At 46.1% G+C, this 25,656-nt stretch overlaps 1 protein-coding gene across 32 annotated transcripts in view, besides 4 other annotated features; it reads right to left on the bottom strand.

Moving 5' to 3' along the window:
* The window catches only part of KLC1 (kinesin light chain 1), a 72,334-nt gene that overhangs the window by 46,242 nt on the left and 436 nt on the right, over positions 1-25,656 (bottom strand). For all 32 annotated transcript variants that reach the window (NM_001394832.1, NM_001394836.1, NM_001394846.1 and 29 more), the window contains exon 2: positions 478-739. In NM_001394832.1, coding sequence (NP_001381761.1) covers positions 478-738 — 261 coding nt within the window. In that variant the 5' untranslated portion in view covers position 739. The remainder of the gene's footprint in view (positions 1-477; positions 740-25,656) is intronic.
* Positions 11,082-11,131: a silencer, noted in NCBI's record as "silent region_6168". NCBI's record gives its function as "represses an Ori minimal core promoter by ATAC-STARR-seq in GM12878 lymphoblastoid cells {active_cell/tissue: GM12878}" and the evidence as "EXISTENCE:reporter gene assay evidence [ECO:0000049][PMID:35858748]".
* Positions 14,812-15,312: an enhancer, noted in NCBI's record as "H3K4me1 hESC enhancer chr14:104106328-104106828 (GRCh37/hg19 assembly coordinates)". NCBI's record gives its function as "activates a minimal SCP1, AML or CMV promoter by ChIP-STARR-seq in primed H9 embryonic stem cells {active_cell/tissue: H9 hESC(primed)}" and the evidence as "EXISTENCE:reporter gene assay evidence [ECO:0000049][PMID:30033119]".
* Positions 25,345-25,524: a silencer, noted in NCBI's record as "silent region_6167". NCBI's record gives its function as "represses an Ori minimal core promoter by ATAC-STARR-seq in GM12878 lymphoblastoid cells {active_cell/tissue: GM12878}" and the evidence as "EXISTENCE:reporter gene assay evidence [ECO:0000049][PMID:35858748]".
* Positions 25,565-25,614: a silencer, noted in NCBI's record as "silent region_6166". NCBI's record gives its function as "represses an Ori minimal core promoter by ATAC-STARR-seq in GM12878 lymphoblastoid cells {active_cell/tissue: GM12878}" and the evidence as "EXISTENCE:reporter gene assay evidence [ECO:0000049][PMID:35858748]".

Below are 25,656 nucleotides of genomic sequence, written 5' to 3'. Positions count from 1 at the left end.
AATTCTGATAGGCCCAAATCAATAGTAATTTATTAACATACAGAACACATGATCTGTTTTGTTTTGTTTTTTCTTTGAGAAAAAGTCTCGCTCTGTCACCCAGGCTGGAGTGCAGTGATGCAATTTTGGCTCCCTGCAACCTCTGCCTCCCAGGTTCAAGTGATTCTCCTGCCTCAAGCCTGCCTAGTAGCTGGATTACACACGCCAGCCACCAGGCCCGGCTAATTTTTGTATTTTTAGTAGAGTCAGGGTTTCGCTATGTTGGCCAGGCTGGTCTCAAACTCCTGACCTCAAGTGATCCACCTGCCTCAGCCTCCCAAAGTGCTTGGATTACAGGCCTGAGCCACACCGCACTCGGCCTGGATCTGTTATTCTATAATCATCTTTCCTCTTCTTTAGTGAAACTGCTTATTTCAAACAAGTCTCCATTTTACCATCAAAAGTTCCTGATAACGTCTGAGTCATTCTCACTCGTACCTGTGCCTCACTCAGGCCGAGCTCCAACATCTCCAGTGACTTCCGGATCATGTTTGATTTCTCCTCCACCAAATTACTTTCATCATCTTTCTTCAAACACTTCAGTGTCTCCAGCAAACTTTGTAAAATGGAATTGTGCTCATTCTTCAAAGCTTCCAGCCCCTGAATTACTTGCTTTGTCTTAGAAATAATTTCATCCTGTGTAAGCTTCTCCAACTTGTCTTCCTTTATGTACACCATTGTGGACATGTTGTCATACATTCTGGAATGAAAAAAGAAAAAGAAATTAGATCCCTCATTACAGGTTTCATTTCTGTTACATCAAGTAAATATGAAAATTTTTTAATTAACATTTTATAGGGGAATAATAAATATGCACATTTGTAATTTATGACCTTGAAATACCATATTCTGCAGTTTCTGTTTTTCCTTTGCAGACACATTTAATTACTTTTCTGGTTTATGTCTTAATTCTTTTTTATGACAGCAACTGAAATTAATGCCAAAGATTAAAAGCAGCAAAACATCTAAATGGCATTTCCAAAACACATAGCCTCGGTGAACAACATTTTTTCTCAGAATGTTTGCAAGCCTTTTTCTCTTCCTAATGAAATGCAGGAAGAACACTACATTCTTGGTAAAATGTTTAACTGGACAAAGGCTTGAAAAGGAGTCACACAGCTGGAAGAAGAAAGAAAAACCAGCCAAAGAACATGGAACAGGAAGAGCAGCAGGGGAGGAGCAGACCTGGAAGACACAGGGCATCAAGGACAGGTGCAGCACGGTCACCGGGCAGGCTCACAGATGAGGATGGCACAGCGAAGCACCACCAGGGCCAGGCCCAGGGTGATGTGATGCAATGTCTGGAAGGGGCTTTCAAACACCAAAGTGAGAAAGAAAAGGGGGAGGAAAGGGGAATATAAAAACAGCATCATTTGTGCTGTTGTGCCTGACAGCCGCTGTCACTGAGCAATGGTTCCCTCTGCTAGCCTCTCTCCTTTTTTCTAAGTCTTAAAAACCCATAGTTAAGTTTAAAAAACAGAAAGATAGTGAGCAGTGATCTTTTTCGGCACAGTGACAGGGATGGAGGCAAGATTACACGTCAGAGTTATTTCCTTCACAGCACTGCCACTGTCTAAAATCTCACGATTCATTAAGTGTCTAATGTCACCTTGAATATAAGCTCTTATTTAAAAAGGCAGGACAGCCAGGCATGGTGGCTCATTCCTATAATTCCAGCACTTTGGGAGGCCAAGGCAGGCGGATCACTTGATGGCAGGAGTTCAAAACCAGCCGGCCAACACGGCGAAACCCTGTCTCAACTAAAAATACAAAAATTAGGTGAGTGTGCTGGCACACGCCTGTGGTCCCAGCTACTCAGGGGGCTGAGGCACGAGAATCACTTGAGCCCGGGAGGCAGAGGTTGCAGTGAGCCAAGATCTCACTACTGCACTCCAGCCTGGGTGACAGAGCGAGACTCTGCCTAAATAAATAAATAAAAATAAATGAAGTAAAATTAGCTGGGTGGTATGTGCAGGTATTCCTTGCTACCCAGGAGGCTCAGTGAGGCACAAGGATCGCTTGAGTCCAGGAATTTGAGGTGACAGTCAGCTATGATGGTACCTCTGCACTCTAGCCTGGGTGACGGAGCAAGACCCTGTCTCTTTAAAAAATTCCCAAAAAAAGAAAAAAGGCAGGGACTTGATCTTGTAGGACTCCACAGCTTCTAGAGGCAGCTCCTGGCCCAGAAAGTCCATGTAGTGAATGGATGGACTGACAGACGCTGCATGAAGGGAAGAAAAGCTGAATCAGCAGATACAGACTATATATTCCAGGATTTTGGGGTGAAGCTATGAGTGCTTGAGAATAGGGTCACGTTAGTCTCTGCATCACACACTGGAAAAATGATTTTCTTTTTCCATACATATGAAGACTGAATTCCTTTTAAAATTTGGAAGTTGTCTGTAAGACTATTCAGAAATCCACCTCCACTCCACTAACAAAGAGGCCAGAAAACAACAAAACAACAAACGCCGACCGGGCACGGTGGCTCATGCCTGTAATCCCAGCACTTTGGGAGGCGAAGGCGGGCAGATCACGAGGTCAAGAGTTCGAGACCAGCCTGGCCAATATGGTGAAACCCCCGTCTCTACTAAAAATACAAAAATCAGCCGAGCCTGATGGCGCTCGCCTGTACTCCCAGCTACTCAGGAGGCTGAGGCAGGAGAATCGCTTGAAGCCAGGAGGCAGGAGTTGCAGTGAGCCGAGATCGCGCCACTGCACTCCAGCCTGGGCAACAGAGGAAGATTCTGTCTCAAAAAAAAAAAAGAACAAAGGCCACTCCTCTACCTGACAGTATGTTAACTGTTAGTATTTATTTAACACAGGGCTCTCCAGCTTCACTGTAGCAAATCCATGGTGTGCCAGGCTGGGAATATATTGCTGAGTGATACTGCTGCTCCACTAGGGACCTCATCCATACTGTTCCATGATATATCCCCGGCCTGGCACTCAATACACATTTGTAAAATGAGTGAAAGAAAACACTTAAGGACCAGTTTTCAACAAACAAGATTAAAATGTACTAGGTTAAAGTGTTGATCTGAACATCTTTGAGGTTCCTATGACTGAAGGGAAGGGTCTTCAGGAGGAGGAAAATAAAACTTAAGGCCTGTTTTTCCACCCTGACAGCAAAGTATTTATGTATTATATCCAAATGATGCAACATATATTCTTTTATGTTTCCCAAACTAGCAGATGCAAGTGTTTTACTAAAACTTACTCTGAGCTAAGCCCTGGAATGTACAGATTAATAAGGGCCTCGCCCTTGGGGACATGCAAGCTAGCAGAAGACAAGCTACACAAGCAGGTGCACAAAGACCTGAAGGCTCAGGGACAGTGGCTGTGTGGCGGAACACGGTGGTGGGGGGCAATGGCCAACTGAGAGACGAAGGCCAGACAGAAGAAACCACTCCCAAGGGAAGCCAGTGTTATCAAGTAGCACCTCTCAAGGCTAGTAAGGGCTACTAAGATTGCTAAGGGCACTGCCAGCCCGGCAGCAAAGGGGAGCTGAGGCAGAGGTGTGACGGCACCCACTGCTGGTGAGCAGCTGCTCATCACTGCAAAGCCAGACCCAGTACCAAGGCTAGAGGAGCAGCACGGAGTGAGAGCACAAGAAACCTGCCCCCCAGGTGACCATGGTATAGATGTTAAGTACACGTGCCACTTCTTCAGAGGGAAACAGACAGCGGCATGTATATTTAGACTCGATACCTCTCACCATTTCTAGGCTAAGCCATTATAACCAAAGACAGCTTATATAATAAACGGTGCCAAGGCAACTGGCTATTTAGGAAAAATAAAATAAAGTTAAACTCCTACACTCACTATATACTAACATGAATTCCAGATTAATAACTAAATTAAAAAAAAACCAAGAAACTAGAAGGAAATACAGGCAAAAGTCTATATGCACGTAGGTCAAACTAAAGATCATTCTATGAATAAAAGTAATGGCAAGCTGGGCGCGGTGGCCGACGCCTGTAATCCTAGCACTCTGGGAGGCCGAGGCTGGCGGATCACGAGGTCAAGAGTTCAAGACCAGCCTGGCCAACATGGTGAAACCCGTTTCTACTAAAAATACAAAAAATTAGCCGGGCGTGGTGGTGCACACCTGTAATCCCAGCTATTATGGAGGCTGAGGCAGGAGAATCACTTGAACTCAGGAGGTGGAGGTTGCAGTGAGCGGAGATCTCACCACTGCACTCCAGCCTGGGCGACAGAGCAAGACTCCATCACTAAATAAATAAATAAATAAGGTATAAAACTGTAAACGACTGACAAGTCTACTTAGGACATTTTTCAAGTTTGATGCAGAAACAAAATGCGTTTCTGAGGGAAAACTATCTTGCAGCTCCTCAAGATGAAGAATTCAAAAGTATACAGGCGGCTGGGCTTGGTGGTTCACGCCTGTAATCCCAGCACTTTGGGAGGCCCAGGTAAGCAGATCACTTAGGTCAGGAGTTCCAGACAAGCCTGGCCAACATGGTGAAACCCCGTCTCTACTAAAAATACAAAAAATTAGCCAGGCGTGGTGGCAGGTGCCTGCAATCCCAGCTACTCGGGAGGTTGAGGTAGAAGAATCGCTTGAACCCGGTAGGCAGAGGTTGCAGTGAGCTGAGATCGCACCACTGCACTCCAGCCTGGGCAAGAGTGAGACTCCATCTCAAAAAAAAAAAAAAAAAGTATACAGGCTACCGCTAAGTAACAGGTAACACTGATTTACTGATTTCTGCAAGGTAAAAATTACTCAGTATCTAAGTTGACTCAAACATTTTGCCAGCCTATAAATCACACCATCACTGGACCATCTTCCAACTCTCATGCCGTGTATGCCTGGAGATGATTCAATGGAACAAGGAATCAGCCAAAACAATGCCTAGCAACCCACGGGCATGCAATAAAGATGTGTGCAATGAATGAATGAAGCAGCTTTGGAGCTAATGCATCTTCTTCTCACCTACCCTGGGGTGTGGTGGAGGCTCAGTCTCCCTGTACGTCAAGTGAAATTGATACCCACCTGACCTGGAACAATAGTACAGGCTCAGAAATACTCCCTTCCCTCTTTCCCTCTGACTGACACACAAGCTATCTGGCCCCAGGTTATTCTAACTATGAACTTTTTTTATTATGCTTTTATTCCTTAAAAAAAAAAAGTCCTATTTAAAGTTCCATTATTTACTCCGTGAGACCAAAAGAACTCAATGCAAAATCTCCAGTGTAAAACCTGATAAATCTAACATCTGAATTAAGCTCCCAAAACACAAGAAGCTGCCGGGCACGGTGGCTCACGCCTGTAATCCCAGCACTTTGGGAGGTGGAGGCGGGCGGATCACGAGGTCAGGAGATCGAGACCACCCTGGCTAACACGGTGAAACCCCGTCTCTACTAAAAATACAAAAAATTAGCCGGGCGCGATGGTGGGCGCCTGTAGTCCCAGCTACTCCGGAGGCTGAGGCAGGAGAATGGCGTGAACCCGGGAGACGAAGCTTGCAGTGAGCCGAGATGGCGCCACTGCACTCCAGCCTGGGCGACAGAGCGAGACTCCGTCTCGAAAAAAAAAAAAAACACATAAGAAGCCCTTTTTAGGGTCAAACCTCTTTAAGGCTATTGTTCAACAGGCAAAGCTATTACAGTCTACTAAATTTAAAGTCTCAGGATTCAAGTAAACCTAACAAATTCTTTTTTTTTTTTTTTTTTTTTTGAGATGAGGTCTCACCATGTTGCCCAGGCTGGTCTAAAACTCTTGGGCTCCAGTGATCCTCCCACCTTGGCCTCCCAAAGTGCTGGAGATATGGGTATGAGCTATCACACCAGGCCCCTAACAAATTATGTACTGTGTCTACAGACTGTAAGTCACTACCTAACATAATGAAGACCAAAAAAACCCTATAATTGTTATTTTTATTTTAGAACTCATTTTGTTTACATTATTTTAGATAGTGACTCAACTTTTGCAATTATATAGTATTGTGGTTTTCATGTTTTTCTCTTTCTTTTAGAGATGGGGTCTTGCTATGTTGCCCAGGCTGGACTTGCACTCCTAGACTCAAGCAATTCCCCACCTTCAGTCTCCCAAGGAGCTAGGAGTATAGGCAATTGTCACTGTACTGTTTCTTTGTTTTTTTTTAAGACAGGCTCTCATTCTATCACCCAGGGTGGGCTGCAATGGCACTATTTTGGCTCACTGCAACTTCCGCATCCCGGGCTCAAGCGATCCTCCCACATCAGCCTCCCAAGTAGCTGGGACTACAGGCATGCACCACCATACCCAGCTAACTTTTGTATTTTTAGTAGAGACACAGTTTCGCCATGTTGCCCAGGCTGGTCTCAAACTCCTGAGCTCAGGTGATCTGCCCGCCTCGGCCTCCCAAAGAACTGGGATTACAGGCATGAGCCACTGCACCCAGCCCACTGTGCCATTTTGACATGTATTTTTAACATACATGATTCTCCTTTTTTGTCTGAGACAGGGTCTCACTCTGTCACCCAGGCTGAAGTGCAGTGGCATGATCTTGGCTCATTACAACCTCCACCTCCTGGGCTCAAGTGATCCTCCCACCTCAGTCTCCCACGTAGTTGGGACTACAGGTGCGTGCCGCCAAGCCTGGCTAATTTTTCTTTCTTTTTTATTTTCTTTTTATTTTCTGTAGAGAGGGTCTTGCCATGTTGCCGAGGCTGGCCTTCAACTCCTAGGCTCAAGTGACCTGTCCACTTCACCCTCCGAAAGTGCTGCGATTACAGGCATGAGCCACCATGCCAGGCCACAAGTCTCAAGTCCAAAGATTTACTTCAATCATTCTTTCGTACTACCACATTCTGAGGACATAAATTGAGAATGTTAAGAACCTATCCTGTCAGGCTCCACATTGGGACCTCTGATTAAATACCTGTATCGCAACTTGCCAGGAGTAAAAAATAAATCAAAATAAATGTTAAAATCCTGTCTGTAGCATTTTGTAACCTAGAAATAAAACAATTTTTACTCTTTTTAAAATGTCATTTGAAAAACAATACAGGCTGGGCGCGGTGGCTCACGCCTGTAATCCCAGCACTTTGGGAGGCCAAGGCAGGCAAATCACGAGGTCAAGAGATTGAGACCATCCTGGCCAACATGGTGAAACCCCGTCTCTAATAAAAATACAAAAATTAGCCAGGCGTGGTGGCGTGCACCTGTAGTCCCAGCTACTCGGGAGCTTGAGGCAGAAGAATTGCTTGAATCTGGGAGGCAGAGGTTGCAGTGAGCCGAGATCGCGCCACTGCACTCCAGCCTGCCAAAAGAGCGAGACTCCGTCTCAAAAGAAAAAAAAACCCAATACAAATAGACCTGGTCTTTTACAAACTACCCACTGGGACAGAAATTAGGAAATGCTATTCTTTTTTTTTTTTTTTGAGATGGAGTCTTGCTCTGTCGCCAGGCTGGAGTGCAGTTGCACAATCTCGGCTCAATGCAACCTCCACCTCCCAGGTTCAAGCGATTCTCCTGCCTCAGCCTCCCAAGTAGCTAGAACTACAGGAACACACCACCATGCTCAGCTAATTTTTGTATTTTTAGTAGAGATGGGGTTTTACCATGTATGCCAGGATGGTCTTGATCTCTTGACCTTGGGATCTGCCCACCTTGGCTTCCCAAAGTGTTGGGATTACAGGCGTGAGCCACCATGCCTGGCCATGCCATCCTTTCAAAAGGCTTACCTGCCTTTTGGAAATATAAGAAACAATAACAAAAAAGTTTCTGGGTAAGGCACAGTGGCTCTCCCTGTAATCCCACCACTTTGGGAGGCCCAGGCAGGCGGATTACTTGAGGTCAGGAGTTCAAGACCAGCCTGGTCAACATGGCAAAACCCCATCTCTAGTAAAAAAAAAAATACAAAAATTAGCTGGGTGTGGTGGCACACACCTGTAGTCTCAGCTACTCAGGAGGCTGAGGCAGGAGAATCGCTTGAACCTGGAAAGTGGAGGTTGCAGTAAGCCGAGATCCTGCCACTGCACTCCAGCCTGGGTGACAGAGCAACACTCCGTCTCAAAAAAATAAAAATAAAAAAAAAGTTTCTGGATAAAGAAAGTAAATAAAAAACCCATGCTCAAACTTGAAATAAGGCTTAACAGTTCGGATAGACAAGGTAACTGTAGCATGTTTGTATTATTCAACATCCTACTTGACAGGTAAGGATTTGTACCCGTGTAACTGAAAAGAGATGGCATGCAATAAAACCTAATATACAGACTACAACGAAAGTTCTACCACTCAGCTCTGACAAAAACACCAGACATAAATATGAATTTGTATATTCAGTTGCTTTACCTCTAAAGTAATCCAAGCAGAGGTAATATGAAAAATAGAAATAGTTCTTATGCTGGACACTGTGGCTGATGTGTGTAACCCCAGCACTTTGGGAGGATGAGGTGGGAGGATCCCTTGAACCCAGGAATTCAAGACCAGCCTAGGCAAGACAGCAAGACCCCATCTCTACAAAAAAACAAAAAAAATTAGCTAGGCATGGTGGCACATGCTTGTACTCCCAGCTACTTGGGAGGCTGAAGCAGAAACATCGTTTGAGCCCAGGGGTTCAAGACCAGACTGGGCAACATAGAGGGGTCCCATCTTTTCAAAAAGAAAAAAAAGAAAGAAAAAAAATTAGCTAGGCATAAAGATGCATGTCTGCAGTTCACGGCTGCAGTGAGCCATGACTGTGCCACTGCACTTCAGCCTGGGTGACAGAGTGAGACCTTGTCTGAAATATGTATATATACACATATATATGCATACATATAATATTTTAATTAAAAAATTAAAAATTAGATGGGCATGGTAGTATGTGCCTGTACTCCCAACTACTTGAGAGGCTGAAGTGGGAAGATGGCTTGAGCCCAGGAGTTCAAGGCTGCGTGAGCTATGATCATGCCACTGCACTCCAGCGTAGGTGACAGAGCAAGCAAGACTGTCTCAGAAAATAGTTCTCATTACACACTAAAACTGTCCTTTTAATTCGTCCTTTATGACAGGAGTGATATTTTACTTACTCTGTCACACTAATGACTAAAAGAGAAGGCCTTGGGAATTTTAACTAACTCCCTGATAGATATGACGCAAACTAACAAATTTACAATAGACAAATTCTGTACAATACAGTCATGTGCAGTATAATGACATTTTGGTCAATGAGGGACCTCATATTTGACAGTGGTCCCATAAGATTATAACACCAGGCCAGGCATGGTGGCTCATGCCCGTAATCCCAGCACTTTGGGAGGCTGAGGCTGGTGGATCACGATGTCAGGAGATCAAGACCATCCTGGCTAACACGATGAAACCCTGTCTCTACTAAAAATACAAAAAAATTAGCTGGGCATGGTGGCGGGTGCCTGTAGTCCCAGCTACTCGGGAGGCTGAGGCAGAAGAATGGCATGAACCCAGAAGGCGGAACTTGCAGTGAGCTGAGATTGTGCCACTGCACTCCAGCCTGGGCAACAGAGCGAGACTCTGTCTCAAAAAAAAAAAAAGGATTGTAACACCTATTTTGACTATATCTTTTCTATGTTTAGATATGTTTAGTTGCACAAATATTTACCACTGTTACAGCTGCCTACCACAGCCACATACTGTATGGGTTTTTAGCCTAGGAGCAATGGGCTACACCATACAGCCTAGGTGTGCAGTAGGTTATACTTCCTAGGTTTGTGTAAATGTACTCCCTGATGCCCCCACAACGAAATCACTTAACGATGCATTCCTCAAAACACATCCTCAACGTTCAGCATAACACACACACAACTGCATTAGGTGGATGCTTTAAACTAAGAAGTGCGACTGCGATGTCCACTACAAGCATGGCAGGGAGCTGCAGAAGAACTGAGCTAGGCAGCACCAGGGGGAACCTGGGAGATGACCAACTCTCAGCCACCACTTGGTTTGTAGACCTGGTAGGGCAGCTAGGTCTTCGCCTCCAAAAAAAAGACAGGCAAATTTTCCCGAGAAATCTGGCCAGCCCCAGGCCAGGCGCAGTGGCTCCCGCCTGTAGTCCCAGCACTTTGGGAGGCCGAGGCGGGCGGATCACCTGAGGTCGGGAGTTCGAGACCAGCCTAGCAAACATGGAGAAACCCCGACTCTACTACAAATACAAAATTAGCCAGGTGTGGTGGCACATGCCTGTAACCCCAGTTACTTGAGAGGCTGAGGCAGGAGAATCACTTGAACCCAGGAGGCGGAGGTTGCAGTGAGCCAAGATCACCCCATTGCACTCCAGCCTGGGCAACAAGAAAGAAACTCAAAGAAAAAGAAAGAAAGAGAGAGAGAAAGAAAAGAAAAGGAAAAGAACAGAATAGAACAGAAAAGAACAGAACTAAAGAAAGAAATCTGGCCAGCCCCAAAAGAGTAACATCCATCCATTCCTCAAATGTTTACTGAGCCTCTACTTTATTCAAGGCACTGTTCTAAAGGTAGAACTTGACCCCCCAAAAAAATTGTCCTAAGAAAATTAAAATATTTTGGTGACAAGAGAATATTCTTTTTCTTCTCTTCTCTTTTCTTTTTAAGTAGAGACAGGGTCTCACTATGTTGCCCAGAATGGTCTCAAAGTCCTGGGCTCAAGTGATCCTCCTACCTCGGCCTCCCAAAGTACTGGGATTATAGGCGTGAGCTACCACACCCAGTCCCAGAGAATATTCTCTATACTTCCAGAGAGGGAGGAAAAAAAACAGGTCATGCAGGCCGGGCGCGGTGGCTCACGCCTTAGTCCAAGCACTTCGGGAGGCTGAAGCGGGTGGATCAGGAGGTCAGGAGTTCAAGACCAGTCTGGCCAATATGATGAAAGCCCATCTCTACTAAAAACACAAAAAAATTAGCCGGGTGTGGTGGCGGGAGCCTGTAATCCCAGCTACTCGGGAAGCTGAGGCAGAGAATTGCTTGAACTCGGGAGGCGGAGGTTGCAGTGAGCCGAGATCACGCCACTGCACTCCAGCCTGGGCGACAAAGCGAGATTCCATCTCAAAAAAAAAAAGTCACGTAGAAAGAATCGAGAATAACTTTAGGCTTTTTTTTTTTTTTTTTTTGAGACAGAGTCTCGCTCTGTTGCCCAGGCTGATGTGCAGTGGTGCAATCACGGCTCACTGCAAGCTCCGCCTCCCAGGTTCAGGCCATTCTCCTGCCTCATCCTCCCTGGTAGCTGAGACCACAGGCGCCCGCAACCACACCCAGCTAATTTTTTGTATTTTTAGTAGAGATGGGGTTTCACCATGTTACCCAGGATGGTCTCGATCTCCTGACCTCGTGATCTGCCTGCCTCGGCCTCTCAAAGTGCTGGGATTACAGGCGTGAGCCACCGTGCCCAGCCAACTTTAGGTTTCTTAACAGCCACATTGGAAGCAAAAGGAAATTAAACAAATGCCTTCGGGCCAGGCAACCTCCACCTTCTGCGCTCAAGTGATTCTCCTGACTCAGCCTCCCGAGTAGCTGGGATTACAGGCATGCACCACCACGCCAGGCTAATTTTTGTATTTTTAGTAGAGACGGAGTTTCACCATATTGGCCAGGCTGGTCTGGAACTCTTGACCTCAAGTGATCTGCCTGCCTTGGCCTTCCAAAGTGTTGGGATTACAGGCGTGAGCCACCATGCCCGGTCAACCAATGTATTTCTTAAATGTATCTGATTGATGTCTCATGCCTCTCTAAAATGTATAAAACCAAGCTGTGCCCCGACCACCTTGGGCACATGTTCTCAGGACTTCCTGAGGGCTGTGTCACGGGCCATGGTCACTCATATTTGGCTCAGAATAAATCTTTTCAAATATTTTACAGGGTTTGAATCTTTTCATAACAATTCTATCAAGGGCACGTGCCAACATGATTTACACCTAATACATCAGCCTCGACCACCTGGCTCAGGTAGCATTTGCAGGTTTAGCCACTGTAAGATTATCACCACCACCTCCACACACAGTCATCCCATTCCATACTCTTAGGAAGCAAGTCACTAAGTGCAGCCCACACTCCAAGGAGATGGGGAAAGTTATAGAGGACCCTCTGGAAGATGGAAGAATCTACCATTATTTGGAATTCTTCTCTAAGGGAGATCAGTCTATTCTTTGTCTCTTTCCTCATTTATTAATGTAATTATTTATATCAATATGGACTTACAGATATTTGTTTTATACTTTAGGTGATAAGTAAAATACTAATTGTTAAAAATACATTCTTGGCTGGGCATGGAGGCTCATGCCTGTAATCCCAACACTTTGGGAGGCCATGGTGGGTGGATTACCTGAGGTCAGGAGTTGGAGACCAACCTGACCAAAATGGTGAAACCCCGTCTCTACTAAAAATACAAAAAAATTAGCCGGGCGTGGTGGTGTGCGCCTGTTGTCCCAGCAACTCAGGAGGCTGAGACAGGAGAATTGCCTTGAACCTGGGAGGTGGAGGTTGCAGTGAGCCGAGATCACGCCACTGCACTCCAGCCTGGGCAACAGAGTGAGACTCCGTCTCAAAAAAAAAAAAAAAACCAAAAAACCAAAAAACTACATTATTTATTTTATTGTTCAAGTTGTTCCAGCTTTTGTCAATGGGAGCTCTTTCAGTTGGTTCCTGTGTCCCTTCTTCATGTTCCCATCCCTTTGTTTTTTAGCATATCCTTACATTCAAACACTAGAAGAAGCTTCAGGCTCATCTTATATTTTCCCTGCCCCAGCCCTAGAATCACCCATTACTCCAAAGAGTTCTGATTTGTTTTGGTACAATGGAATCAGAATCCAAAACTGGGAGCCAGTAGTCTTTCTCCTAAAAACTCATAACCCTGACTTAACCATGGGAAAAATATCAAGACAAACCCAAATTTAAGGACATTGTACAAAATACCTTGCCCATATGTCTCAAAACTATCAAGGTTATTGCAATGGAATCAATGTGTGCCCCCCACCCCAATTCACATGTTAAAATTCTAATGCCTAGAGTAATGCTTTTAGGAGGTGGGGCCTTTGGGAGGTGATTAGGCCATGAGGGGACCCCTCACGGTGGGATTAGTGCCTTTAAAAAAGGGAACCCAGGGGCTGAGCAGTGGCTCATGCCTGTAATCCCAGCACTCTGGGAGGCCGAGGTGGGTGAATCACCTGAAATCAGGAGTTCGAGACCAGCCTAGTCAATATGGTGAAACCCCGTCTCTACTAAAAATACAAAATTAGCCGGGCATGGTGGTGCATGCCTGTAATCCCAGCTACTCAGGAGGCTGAGGCAGGAGAATAGCTTGAACCCAGCAGGCAGAGGTTGCAGTGAGCTGAGATCATGCCACTGCACTCCAGCCTGGGCGATGGAGTGAGACTCTGTCTCAAAAAAATAAAAAATAAAGGGAACCTAGGCAGAGTATAGTGGCTGATACCTATAATCCCAACACTTTGGGATGCCAAGGCAGGCAGATAGCTTGAGCTCAGGTGTTCAAGACCAGTCTGGGCAACATGGTAAAACCCCATCTCTACAAAAAATACAAAAATTATCTGGGTGTTGTAGTGTGCACCTGTAGTCCCAGCTACTTGGGAGGATGAATTGAGCCTGGGAGGCTGAGGTGGAGGTGGGAGGATGAAGTGCACCCAGGAGGCGGAGGCTGCAGTGAGCCAAGATTGTGCCACTGCACTCCAGCTTGGGCAACAGAGACAGACTCTGTCTCAAAAAAATAATTATTATTAAATTTTTTTTAAAAAGGGAACTCTCTCACACTCTTTTCACCATGTGAGAATACATCTAGAAGTCGGTAGCATGCAACCAGAAAGAGGGTCTGCACCAGAATCTGACCATGCTGGCACCCTGATCCCAGACTTCCAGCCTCCAGGACTGTGGCTTGTGTTGTTCGTGAGTCACTAGCCTGTGGTACTTTGTTACAGCCTCGCAAGCTAAGACAGTCCTCTAATGCAAGGAAAGTCTAAGAAAACAGCCACAGAGCAGGAGGCATGATGACTAAATGTGATATGGTATCTTGGATGGGATCCTGAGGTACAACAAGGACAAGGGAAAAACCAGTGATACCAAATAAAGTGGAGTTCAGTTAATAATAATGTACCAGGCTGGGCACAGTGACTCACACCTGTGATCCCAACACTGGGAGGCCGAGGCAGGTGGATCACTTAAGGGCAGGAGTTCGAGACCAGCATGGCCAACATGGCAAAACCCCATCTCTACTAAAAGTACAAAAATTAGCCAGGCATAGTAGCGCATGCCTGTAATTCCAGCTACTAGGGAGGCTGAGGCAGGAGAATTGCTGGAACCCAGAAGGCAGAGGTTGCAGTGAGCCATGGAGCCACTGCACTCCAGCCTGGGTGACCTAGCAAAACTTTGTCTCAAAAGAAAAAAAAAATAATAGTAATAATAATAGTAAGGTACCAATGTTGGTTCCTTGGTTGTCACAAATGTATCACAGTAATGTAGGATATTAACATTAGGGGAAATTGGATGCAAAGTATGTGGGAACTCTCTGTACTATCTTTGCAACTTTTCTGTAAATCTGTAACTATTCTAAAATTAAAAGTTTATTTTCAAATCTACACATAAATACAAAATACATATATAACTTGATAAAAACAAAACCAAAAAAGTATACATACAATATGTATATTAAGAATTCACAGGGCCGGGCGCGGTGGCTCACGCCTGTAATCCCAGCACTTTGGGAGGCCGAGGCGGGCAGATCACAAGGTCAGGAGATCGAGACCATCCTGGTTAACACGGTGAAACCCCATCTCTACCAAAAATACAAAAAATTAGCCAGGCGTGGTGGCGGGCGCCTGTGGTCCCAGCTACTCAGGAGGCTGAGGCAGGAGAATGGCGTGAACCCGGGAGGTGACGCTTGCAGTGAGCAGAGATCGCGCCACTGCACTCCAGCCTGGGCGACAGCGCGAGACTCTGTCTCAAAAAAAAAAGAATTCACAGGCCAGGGGCAGTGGCTCATGCCTGTAATCCCAGAATTTTGGGAGGCCAAGGTGGGTCGATCACCTGAAGTCAGGAGATCGAGACCAGCCTGGTCAACATGGTGAAACCCTGTCTCTATTAAAAATACAAAATTAGCCAGGCATAGTGGTGCACACCTGTAATCCCAGCTACTCGGGAGGGTGAGGCAGTAGAATCGCATGAACCTGGAAAGTGGAGTTTGCAGTGAGCCAAGATCGTGCCACTGCACTCCACAACAGAGCGAAACTCTGTCTCAAAAATAAAGAAAATAAAAGAAAGAATTCACAGCCTGACTCAGTGGCTCACGCCTGTAATCCCAGCACTTTGGGAGGCCAAGGCGGGTGGATCTCTTGAGCTCAGGATTTCAAAGCCAGACAGGGAAACATGGCAAAACCCCATCCTAAAAAAAAATACCAAAATTAGCTGGGTGTGGTGACATGCACCTGTGGTCCCAGCTACTCAGGAGGCTGAGGTGTATCACTGGAGTCCAGGAAATCAAGGCTGCAGTGAAACATGATTGCACCATTGTGCTCTAGCCTGGGTGACAGAGTTGAGACCCTGTCTCAAAAATAATAAAATAAAAATAAAGAATTCACATCTGGGCCGGGTGTGGTGGCTCATACCAGTAATCCCAGCACTTTGGGAGGCCAAGACAGGAGCACTGCTTGAGCCCAGGAGTTCAAGACCAGCCTGGGGAATACAGTGAGACCCTGTCTCTACAAAAATAAAAATTAGTTGGGTGTGGTGGCACACGCCTGTGGTCCCAGCTACTCAGGAGGCTAAGGTGGGAGGATTGTTTGAGCCTGGGAGCTCAAGGCTACAGTAAGCTTTGGCTGTACCACTATACTCCAGCCTAGGTGACACAGCGAAACCCTGTCACAAAAAAATAAATAAGTAAAAGACAAGAAAGAGCCAGGCGTGGTGGCTCACACCTGTAATCCCAACACTTTGGGAGGCTGAGGCAGGCGGATCACTTGAGGTCAGGAGTTCAAGACCAGCCTGGCCAACATGGTGAAACCCCATCTCTACTAAAAATATAAAAATTAGCTAGGCGTGGTGGCACATGCCTGTAGTTCCAGCTACTTGGGAGGCTGAGGCTGCAATGAGCCAAGATCATGCCACTGTACTCCAGCCTGGACAACAGAGCAAGACTCCATCTCAAAAAAAAGGAAAGAAGAATTCGCATCTGTCCAATATGTTAGTTTTGGGAGCATTTTCAAATGTGTAATATTTTATCGAAATAACAACAAAAAAAGTCTGCAGGTAGTTTGATGACCTATCATTATAATTCCCATTTACAGCTGAGGAAACTGGGATACATGAAGTGATTTAAGCTTATTCTACCAACAAGAAGAACACAATCCAAGGTCTCTTTGCCCCAAGTGTCCCTCTGCTTCAGGAACCCTACCACTCTGCATGCACGCACACACACACACACACCCTTGTGCTCACACACATACACCCTATGTTCATACATATGCACCACTGTGCTCACACACACCCCTATGTTCATACATACACACACCACTGTGCTCACGCACACACACCCCCACTGTGTTCATACATACACACCACTATGTTCACACACACCCACACACCCCACTGTGTTCATACATATACACCCAGACTCCAGCCTGGGTGACAGAGCGAGACTCTGACTCAAAAAAAAAAAAAAAAAAAAAAATTAATGAAATGAAAGCAAAGGCCAGAGAAGCAAAGGGCATCATCTTTGGTCACTTTACCTCCCCTGGTTTTATCATGTGAAATTCAGCCAGGTGGGGAAAGCTTACAGTGATGAAGAAAGTTAAGAAAAAAAAAAAACACCAAGCACTAAAAAGGGAAAAGGAATGTGTGGAATTAGATAGATGGTAGTTGCACAAAACAGAGAATACATTAAAAATCACTGCACTGCACGCTTTAAAATGGGGCATTTGATGTGATGTGACTTACATTTCAATTTTCTAAAAGAGAAAAAGAATGTGGTAGAAAAAGCAATAGGTCTGGGTGCACAGAATGAAGGACAGCCAAGAAAGAAATGTCAATTACTCTCAGTTCTCAAGTGTTAAATAAAGTTCCTATGAATACAGACGAGGGTAGCACATTAAGGAAAAATGGGATGGAGGGAAGAAAACAGAGGTTTTTTCCTTGCAAAGGTTTATAAGGGATGTTTTACCGAGAGATGGGCAACAGGAAACCCTGGCAGTGCTGGCCAGATCAGCAGGGTCAGGTCCCATCCCCATATACAGGCGCAGAAGCCCCAAACAATACCAGCAAAGAGGGTCCTGAGGTGAAGGGACCAGCCTACAGGAACAGTCCACGTCATATTCAGGGAAATAAATAGTATCTTGGTGGCCCAGCATAGTGGCTTACGTCTGTAATCCCAGCACTTTGGGAGGCCAAGGAGAGCAGATCATTTGAGCCCAGAAGTTAAAGACTAGCCAGGGCAATGCCATGAAACCCTGTCTCTACAAAAAACAAGCCGGTCATGGTGGTGCGCACATGTAGTCCCAGCTACTTCAGGGGCTGAGGTGGGACGATCACTTGAACACGAGGCTGCACTGAGCCACGACTGTGACACTGCACTCCAACCTAGGCAACAGAGCAAGATCCTGTCTCAAAAATTAAATAAATACATAAATATTTTTTTAAAAAGAAAACATTAACAACCAGACAAAACAAATGCATCTATTTGGCCTTTGGGTGACTTATTTATAGATATGCTTTCAGAATTAAGGAAAGCGGATGTTGCTTAGGCAACAACAAAAAATAAAAGATAAAAATAAACCCTGCGAAAATTTCTTTTTTTTTTTTGAAACAGAGTCTCACTCTGTTGCCCAGGCTGGAATGCAGTGTCGCAATCTCGACTCACTGCAACCTCTGCCTCCCGGGATCAAGCGATTCTTCTGCCTCAGCCTCCCAAGTAGCTGGGACTACAGGTGCACACCACCACGCCTGGCGAATTTTTGTAATTTTAGTAGAGACGGGGTTTCACCATACTGGCCAGGGTAGTCTCAAACTCCTGACTTCATGATCCACCCGCCTCGGCCTCCGAAAGTGCTGGGATTATAGGTGTGAGCCACCGCGCCCAGCCGAAAATTTCTTTAATAAAACTTGCCAGAGCATGGTTAAGAAAAATTAAAAGTATTGATTTATTAAAAGGCACTACCAAAAAATAAAGTTAAGCCATAGATTAGGAAAAAATATTTGCGACACATATATATCTGGCAAACGGCTTGTATAAAAAATACGTCAGCCTGGGCAATAGAGCAAGAGCAAGACTCCATCTGAAAAAAAAAAAACATGTAAGGAACTGCTGGGCGTGGTGGCTCACGCCTGTTAATACCAGCACTTTGGGAGGCCAAGACGGGCGGATCACGAGGTCAGGAGATCGAGACCATCCTGGCTAACATGGTGAAACCCATATCTAATAAAAATACAACAAAAAAAAAAATTAGCTGGGCGTGGTGGCAGGCGCCTGTAGTCCCAGCTACTCCAGAGGCTGAGGCAGGGGAATGGCGTGAACCCGGGAGGCAGAGCTTGCAGTGAGCCGAGATCGCGCCACTGCACTCAAGCCTGGGCAACAGAGGAGACTCCATCTCAAAAATAAATAAATAAATAAATATGTAAGGAACTTAAAAATACAAACAATCCAATTTTTTAAATGGGCAAAAGTCTTGAACAGACACTTTACAAATCCAGGCATACAAAGACCGACAAGCATGTAAGCGCTCACCATTATGAGTCATCAGTGAAATGCACATTAAAACTAACAAGATGCCACTATACCCCGCTAGAATGGCTCAGATGAAAAAGACAGGCAAGGCCAGGCACGGTGGCTCACGCCTGTAATCCCAACACTTTGGGAGGCCGATGGGGGGTGATCACCTGAGGTCAGGAGTTCAAGACCAGCCTGACCAACATGGAGAAACCCATCTCTACTAAAAATACAAAATTAGCCCGGCATGGTGGCCCATGACTGTAATCCCAGATACTCAGGAAATTAAAGCAGGAGAATTGTTTGAACTCGGGAGGCAGAGGTTGCAGTGAGCTGAGATCGTGCCACTGCACTCCAGCCTGGGCAACAAGAGTGAAACTCCATCTCAAAAAAAATAAAAAATAAAGTATTGAAAGTAGTCAAAATCATAGAAACAAAGTAGAAAAGATGGTTACCGGGGGAGGGCGAGGGAGGAGGAGATATCAGTATTTGGGGGCTACAGTCTCAGCGCTGCCAGATGAAAGAGTTCCAGAAATGTGGAACAACGATGTGCATATCCTTAACACTACTGAATTGTGAACTTTTAAATGGTTAAAATGGTACATCTTTGAAAAAAATTGAAGTGGCGCGAGGTTTCCCCAAGAAAAAGTAATGATAGGATTAAACAGCATTATCATGATTCACTTGAAGCTGCAGCTTTAAGTACTGCAAGGTGATTCAAAGCTTATACCGCGAAGCAAAAAAACTGAGTTAGAATCTTGACTTCACAGCTGTGTAACTTTGGTTTCTGAAACTTCCCCTCTCTCACCCTCAAATTCCTCAACAGTAGAATCTCAGTAACAGTACCTATTTTACTTTTTTTTTTTCTTTTTGAGATGGGAGTCTCACTCTGTCGCCCAGGCTGGAGTGCCGTGGCTCGATCTGGCTCACTGCAACCTCCGCCTCCCGGGTTCAAGTGATTCTCCTACCTCAGCTTCCCAAATACCCGGGACTACAGAAGCATACTACCACACGCGGCTAATTTTATATTTTTAGTAGAGACAAGGTTTCACCCATGTTGGCCAGGCTGGTCTCAAACTCCTGACCTCAGGTGATCCGCCCTCCTCAGCCTCCCAAAGTGCTGGGATTACAGACATTAGCCACCAAGCACAGCCTTTTATTTTTTTAAGAAACAAGGTCTCACTATATTGCCCAAGCTAGTTTGAACTCCTGGGCTCAACTGATTCTCCCACCTCAGCCTTCGGAGTAACTGAAACTACAGACACATATGACATCCGCAGGGTTTACAGTACCTATTTTCTCTGGAACAGTGCAAACATCACTCTGATCAGTTTTAGTAGCAGCATAGTGAACTTCAGAGAAGCCTGAACATAAATTTATGTTATGCAACTGAAGTCAGGGAACAATCTATGGTTTAAATGAAGGTAACAGATATTTTAGAACCAAGGAAGTAACTCAGTTCACGTATGCACGTAACTCAGCTTAACATGTTTGCTCCATATCCGTTGCTTTAAGTTCAGATAGCACTTTTCAAATTCAAAAAGCATATATGCAAACTGCTTTCATCTGCCTCCAAAAATTAGTTAAAACTAAAAAAAAATCATAATTCATTTCTGATCCATGAGTATACTAACTAGGAGGCTACAGAGTACAACGCCACAAAGGATGCCTTGGGAGAACGAATGAAGATCATCTCGAAATAGCCTCCATCCTTAAGAGGTAATATTCTCAGGAAACAGGCAACAGGCCGGGTGCAGTGGCTCAAACCTGTAATCCCGACACTTTGGGAGGCCACGGCAGGCAGATGGCTTGAGCCCAGGAATTCGAGACCAGCCTGGGAAACACAGTGAGACCCCCGTCTCTACATAAACTATATTTAAAAAAAAAAAAGTTAAAGGTCATTAGTAACCTCCTAGAAGCAAAATCCATAGAGACTTCTCAGTCCAACCCATCACTGACTTCTTAGCCAATTTGCTACTGATCTCCTCCCTCCTCTTCTCTTGGTTTCCCAGGACCCTCTCCTCTTAGACCCACTCCCCATCTCTACCAGATGGACATCACACCCGACTGGCTCAACGATATGATGCAGTCTCTGGAATCTTTACCTCCAGCCTCAGCCTCTGTCTTGAGCTCCAAAGATGTATCTCTAACTGCCCACTAGTCCACTTGGCTGCCCCACAAGCACTTCAGATTTAACATGTCCAAAAACAAACTCATAATCTCATCCTTCTCCCATTTTCCCTCCTTGGATGAGTGTCACCAGCCAGTGAATCACCCAAATTAGAGATGAGGATCATTCTAGATGCATTCCTTCAACAAACATTTACTAAGTTCCTATTACACGCCAAGCACCGACACTGAATACAAGAGACAAAACTCCCCATCCTTGTGGAGGTTATGAATGTTAAGTGGAGACAAACAATAAAAATTTTAAAATGATTAAAATAATACAGTATTGGCCAGGCACGGTGGCTCAGGCCTGTAATCCCAGCACTTTGGGAGGCTGAGGCAGGTGGATCACTTAAGGTCAAGAGTTCGAGACCAGCCTGGCCAACATGGTGAAATCCTGTCTCTACTAAAAATACAAAAATTAGCTAGGTGTGGTGGCACATGCCTGTAGTCCCAACTACTTGGGAGGCTGAGGCAGGAGAATGGCTTGAACCCGGGAGGCAGAGGATGCAGTGAGCTGAGATCATGCCACTGCACTCCATCCTGGGTGACAGAGCGAGACTCCGTCTCAAAAAGTAATAATAAAAAAAAAATAATAATAATACAGCATTTAAGATAGTGAGGTGTGCTAAGGAGAAAAATCAGGGCAGAGGCTAAGGAGTATGTGGGGAAGTGAAGAAATGCTAATCACTACAAGAATGGGTTTGGTTCAGAACTCCAGATGCACCTGGAAGTGCTTGAGTAGGGCCAGAGCAGGAAGATGAAAAGAGACAGGGTGGGGTGCTCAGAGGACACTGACAAAAGCTTTAACAGAGGAGTGACTCAGGTTTTCACAGGATCATTCTGGGGAGTCCTCCCTGCAGCTCCTCATTTACCCCAATCCAGTCAGCCCCAAATCAGCTCCACTATAACCCTTACAGCCCAGCCCCTGCCCCCACCTAGCTTCTCTGTTCCTTCTGTCACTGCCCTAATCCTGAGGCTTGCCGAGTTGGGGTTAATGGCTTCCTAATTAACCTCATCCCAGTTCACAGCACCTGCCCCACCACTGCCTATGCTCTTTCTAAAGTGGCAACTGGCTCCTCAGAATCTTCCAACCCTCCGGCCAGGCGCGGTGGCTCACGCCTGTAATCCCAGCACTTTGAGAGGCCAAGGCGGGCGGATCACGAGGTCAGGAGATGGAGACCATCCTGGCTAACGTGGTGAAACCCCGACTCTACTAAAAATACAAAAAATTAGCCGGATGTGGTGGCACGCACCTGTAGTCCCAGCTACTCGGGAGGCTGAGGCAGGAGAATCACTTGAACCTGGGAGGTAGAGGCTGCAGTGAGCAGAGGTCGTGCCACTGCGTTCCAGCCTGGGTGACAGAGCAAGACTCCATCTCAAAAAAAAAAAAAATCTTCCAACCCTCCTTTGTAAACCTCAGAATGAAAGCAGACTTCTAAGAAGTCATTCAAGGCCTTTCCTAACCTCGTCTTTCCACACTCACTCCCATGTCCCCTTCCCAACATGCCCCTTTACAGCAGCACAACCTCAGGATTTATTTCCTCCAAGCAGGAACCCCAATCCCAATCCCACCCCTGACCCCCTGACACTGGCTGATTGGTACTTTTCTTTTGTGAAGAATCGCCTCCTCAGTGCACTCCACAGCCTTTAACCTGGTCTGTGGTACCTGCCCATGCCAGCCTGTGAGCTCCTAGAGGACAGAGTTTTTTTGTTTTTTGGTTTTATTTTTTTTGAGGCAGAGTTTTGCTCTTGTTGCCCAGGCTGGAGTGCAATGGCGTGATCTCGGCTCACTGCAACCTCTGCCTCCCCAGTTCAAGCGATTCTCCAGCCTCAGCCTTCTGAGTAGCTGCGATTAGAGGCACCCGCCACCACACCCGGTTTTGGTTTTTTTTGTATTTTTAGTAGAGACAGGGTTTCACCATGTTGTCCAGGCGGGTCTCAAACTCCTGACCTCAGGTGATCGGTCCATCTTGGCCTCCCAAAGTGCTGGGATTACAGGAGTGAGCCACTGCACGGCTGACAGCGGCTCTTTTTGTTTGTTTTGAGACGGAGTCTGGCTGGACTGCAGTGACGTGATCTCGGCTCACTACAACCTCCACTTCCCGGTTCAAGCGATTCTCCTTCCTCAGCCTCATGAGTAGCTGGAATTACAGGTGTGCACCACCACACCTGGCTAATTTTTGTATTTTTGGTAGGGACGGGGTTTCACCATGTTGGCCAGGCTGGTCTTAAACTCCTGACCTCAGGTGATCCACCTGCCTCGGCCTCCCAAAGAGCTAGGGGCGATCTGCAGCCTCAGCCTCCCAAAGAGTTAAGATTACAGGCATGACCACGCCCGGCCAACAGTGGCTCTTTTATCAAGGTATCGCTGACTACTCAGCACAGTACCTGCCATTCAGTTGGTTCCCAACAGACATTTAAGACCAGTATTTGCAATCTTAATGTGCTTGTCACTTTTATTCTATGCCCTGAAATTTGACACTTAAATCTTCCCAAATACTCTCGTCTTGAGTATATTACTGATCATTTCTTTGCTACATAAAATACTGGTTTCAGCCCAGGTGCAATGGCTCACACCTGTAACCCTAGCACTTTGGGAGGCTGAGGCGGGTGGATCGCCTGAGGTCAGCAGTTTGAGACCAGCCTGGCCAACATGGTGAAGCCCCGTCTCTACTAAAAATACAAAAAATCAGCCTGGTGTGGTAGTGGGCACCTGTAATCCCAGCTACTAGGGAGGCTGAGGCAGGAGAATCACTGGAACCTGGGAGGCGGAGGTTGCAGTGAGCGGGGATCACACCACTGCACTCTAGCCTGAGCCACACAGTGAGACTCATCTCTAAATAAATAAAAATAAAATACTGGTTTCTAACATTCCACTTATCTACAAAGAATGTTTTCAGGTGATACTAATCATACATTTCACTCAACTTTTGATTTTTCTATCCTAGGTTTCTTTTTATACAAGTATGTTTTAAGATAATTTATGGCCCTATACAGAAAGTTACACATTGACTTTTTTCCAACATTGAGAAACATGCCTAAGAATGTATAAATTTTAAAAATGTATAAATTTGGGCCAGGTGCGGTGGCTCACGCCTGTAATCCCAGCACTTTGGGAGGCCGAGGTGGGCGGATCACGAGGTCAGGAGATCAAGACCAACCTGGCTAACATGTTGAAACCCCATCTCTACTAAAAATACAAAAAATTAACCGGGCGTGGTGGCGGGCGCCTGTGGTCCCAGCTACTCAGTAGGTTGAGGCAGGAGAATGGCGTGAACCCGGGAGGCGGAGCTTGCAGTGAGCCGAGATCGCGCCACTACACTCCAGCCCGGGCGACAGAGCGAGACTCCATCTCAAAAAAAAAAAAAATGTGTAAGTTTAAACGACTGCAGTTATTTGCTATGAAATACTGAAGATACTGTGTGCCTCTCCCCAGTGTCATTCCCTCCCCCCTTGCTGGAGATAAACGCTGTCCAGAGTCCTGTGCATGTCTGGATGCTTTTCTCTAAGACAATGCCAAGGCTGCAGTAGGGTTAGAGGTTACCACCTGGGTCCTCCACAGCACTCAGTGCCAGACAGGGCTGCCAGGCTCAACTGCAACATGATGCTGCATTCTTTGATGACTTGGAGAGACACTGGCTCTTTAGAGTGCCTACCCTCCCACACAGAATTCCATACAAGTTGAAATATACTTCATACTTAGTATCATTGTATTCCTACAAATATTTAGGAAACAGAGCAATAGGTCAAATTTCTCACCATAACAGGCTTGCTGACAATCCCTGAAAGAAGCAAGGCCATGTCTGTAATATAACTTCAGGAGGTTCTTCCAGTTTTCTAAAGTGTCTTTCACTAAACTAGTGCAATGTATTCCGAGCTGATTCTGATCAATGGCTTAGTCATGCCGTACCAAAAAAAAAGGCCTTGGGATTTAACTAATGCAAAGAATCAAAGCTCTAACTGCCCTTTTACAGAACACCTGAAATAGTATATCTCAAATTTTTTGTTCTCACATTTTTAAAAAACATCATTTTTGTAAGTATTCCTTTTCAAACGCTTAATATGTAAATTCTTAATTCATTTAAATAATAAAACAGTAACAGGCAGCAACAATTCTAATACAAATATACCTAGAAATGACCTACAAATGTTAAGTTATAAAACCATCCACTCCATCACGCATTAATTTCACTACTTTTACGCTTTATTTTAATTTTCTTAAGGAAAAGGGTACACCCAATTTTACATGGAAAAAGCATTCCAGGACGGAGGCTGCTTCAAGTTTAGTTGGAGCAACGCCAGCCTAGGTGAACAGGGTCGCCTGAAACGTTTCGCATCTGGTTACTGAAAATAAGGGGTCGCCAAGGAGGCAAAGCGGAGCCAGCTCTCGGGAGGGACCCGGCCCCCCGCCGCCCGCGAGAATGACAGGCGCGTCCGCTCAGGGCGGTGCCGGGAGAGGCGGGGGTGGAAGGAAGAGGAGGAATCGGACAAAGCCAGCCCCGCCGGGCCTCCGGCCTCCCCGCCCGCCGCGATCCCGGGGTCAGCCACCTCCCCTGTCGCGGGTTCCCGGGGTCCACAGCTGTCCCCGGGAACGGCCGCCGCCGCCCGCAGCAGGGCCAAGCCGGGGATGCGGGGCCAGGGCGGGGCCCTGGGCAGGGCCGGGGACCGGAACCTGCAGTGGGACGCGGATGGGGAGGACGCGCGGCGCCGGGAGCCGGGGCTGGCAAAAGGGCCGGGGACAAGAACCCGACCTGAACCTGGAAGGGGTCGCGGACCGGCCGGGGCGGTGAACTGGGGCGGGTACCGG

This window comes from Homo sapiens, chromosome 14, assembly GCF_000001405.40.
Source record: "Homo sapiens chromosome 14, GRCh38.p14 Primary Assembly".
Classification (NCBI taxonomy): domain Eukaryota; kingdom Metazoa; phylum Chordata; class Mammalia; order Primates; family Hominidae; genus Homo; species Homo sapiens.
The sequence above is the reverse complement of the archived record's forward strand: the minus strand, read 5'-3'. Positions and strand labels throughout refer to the sequence as shown.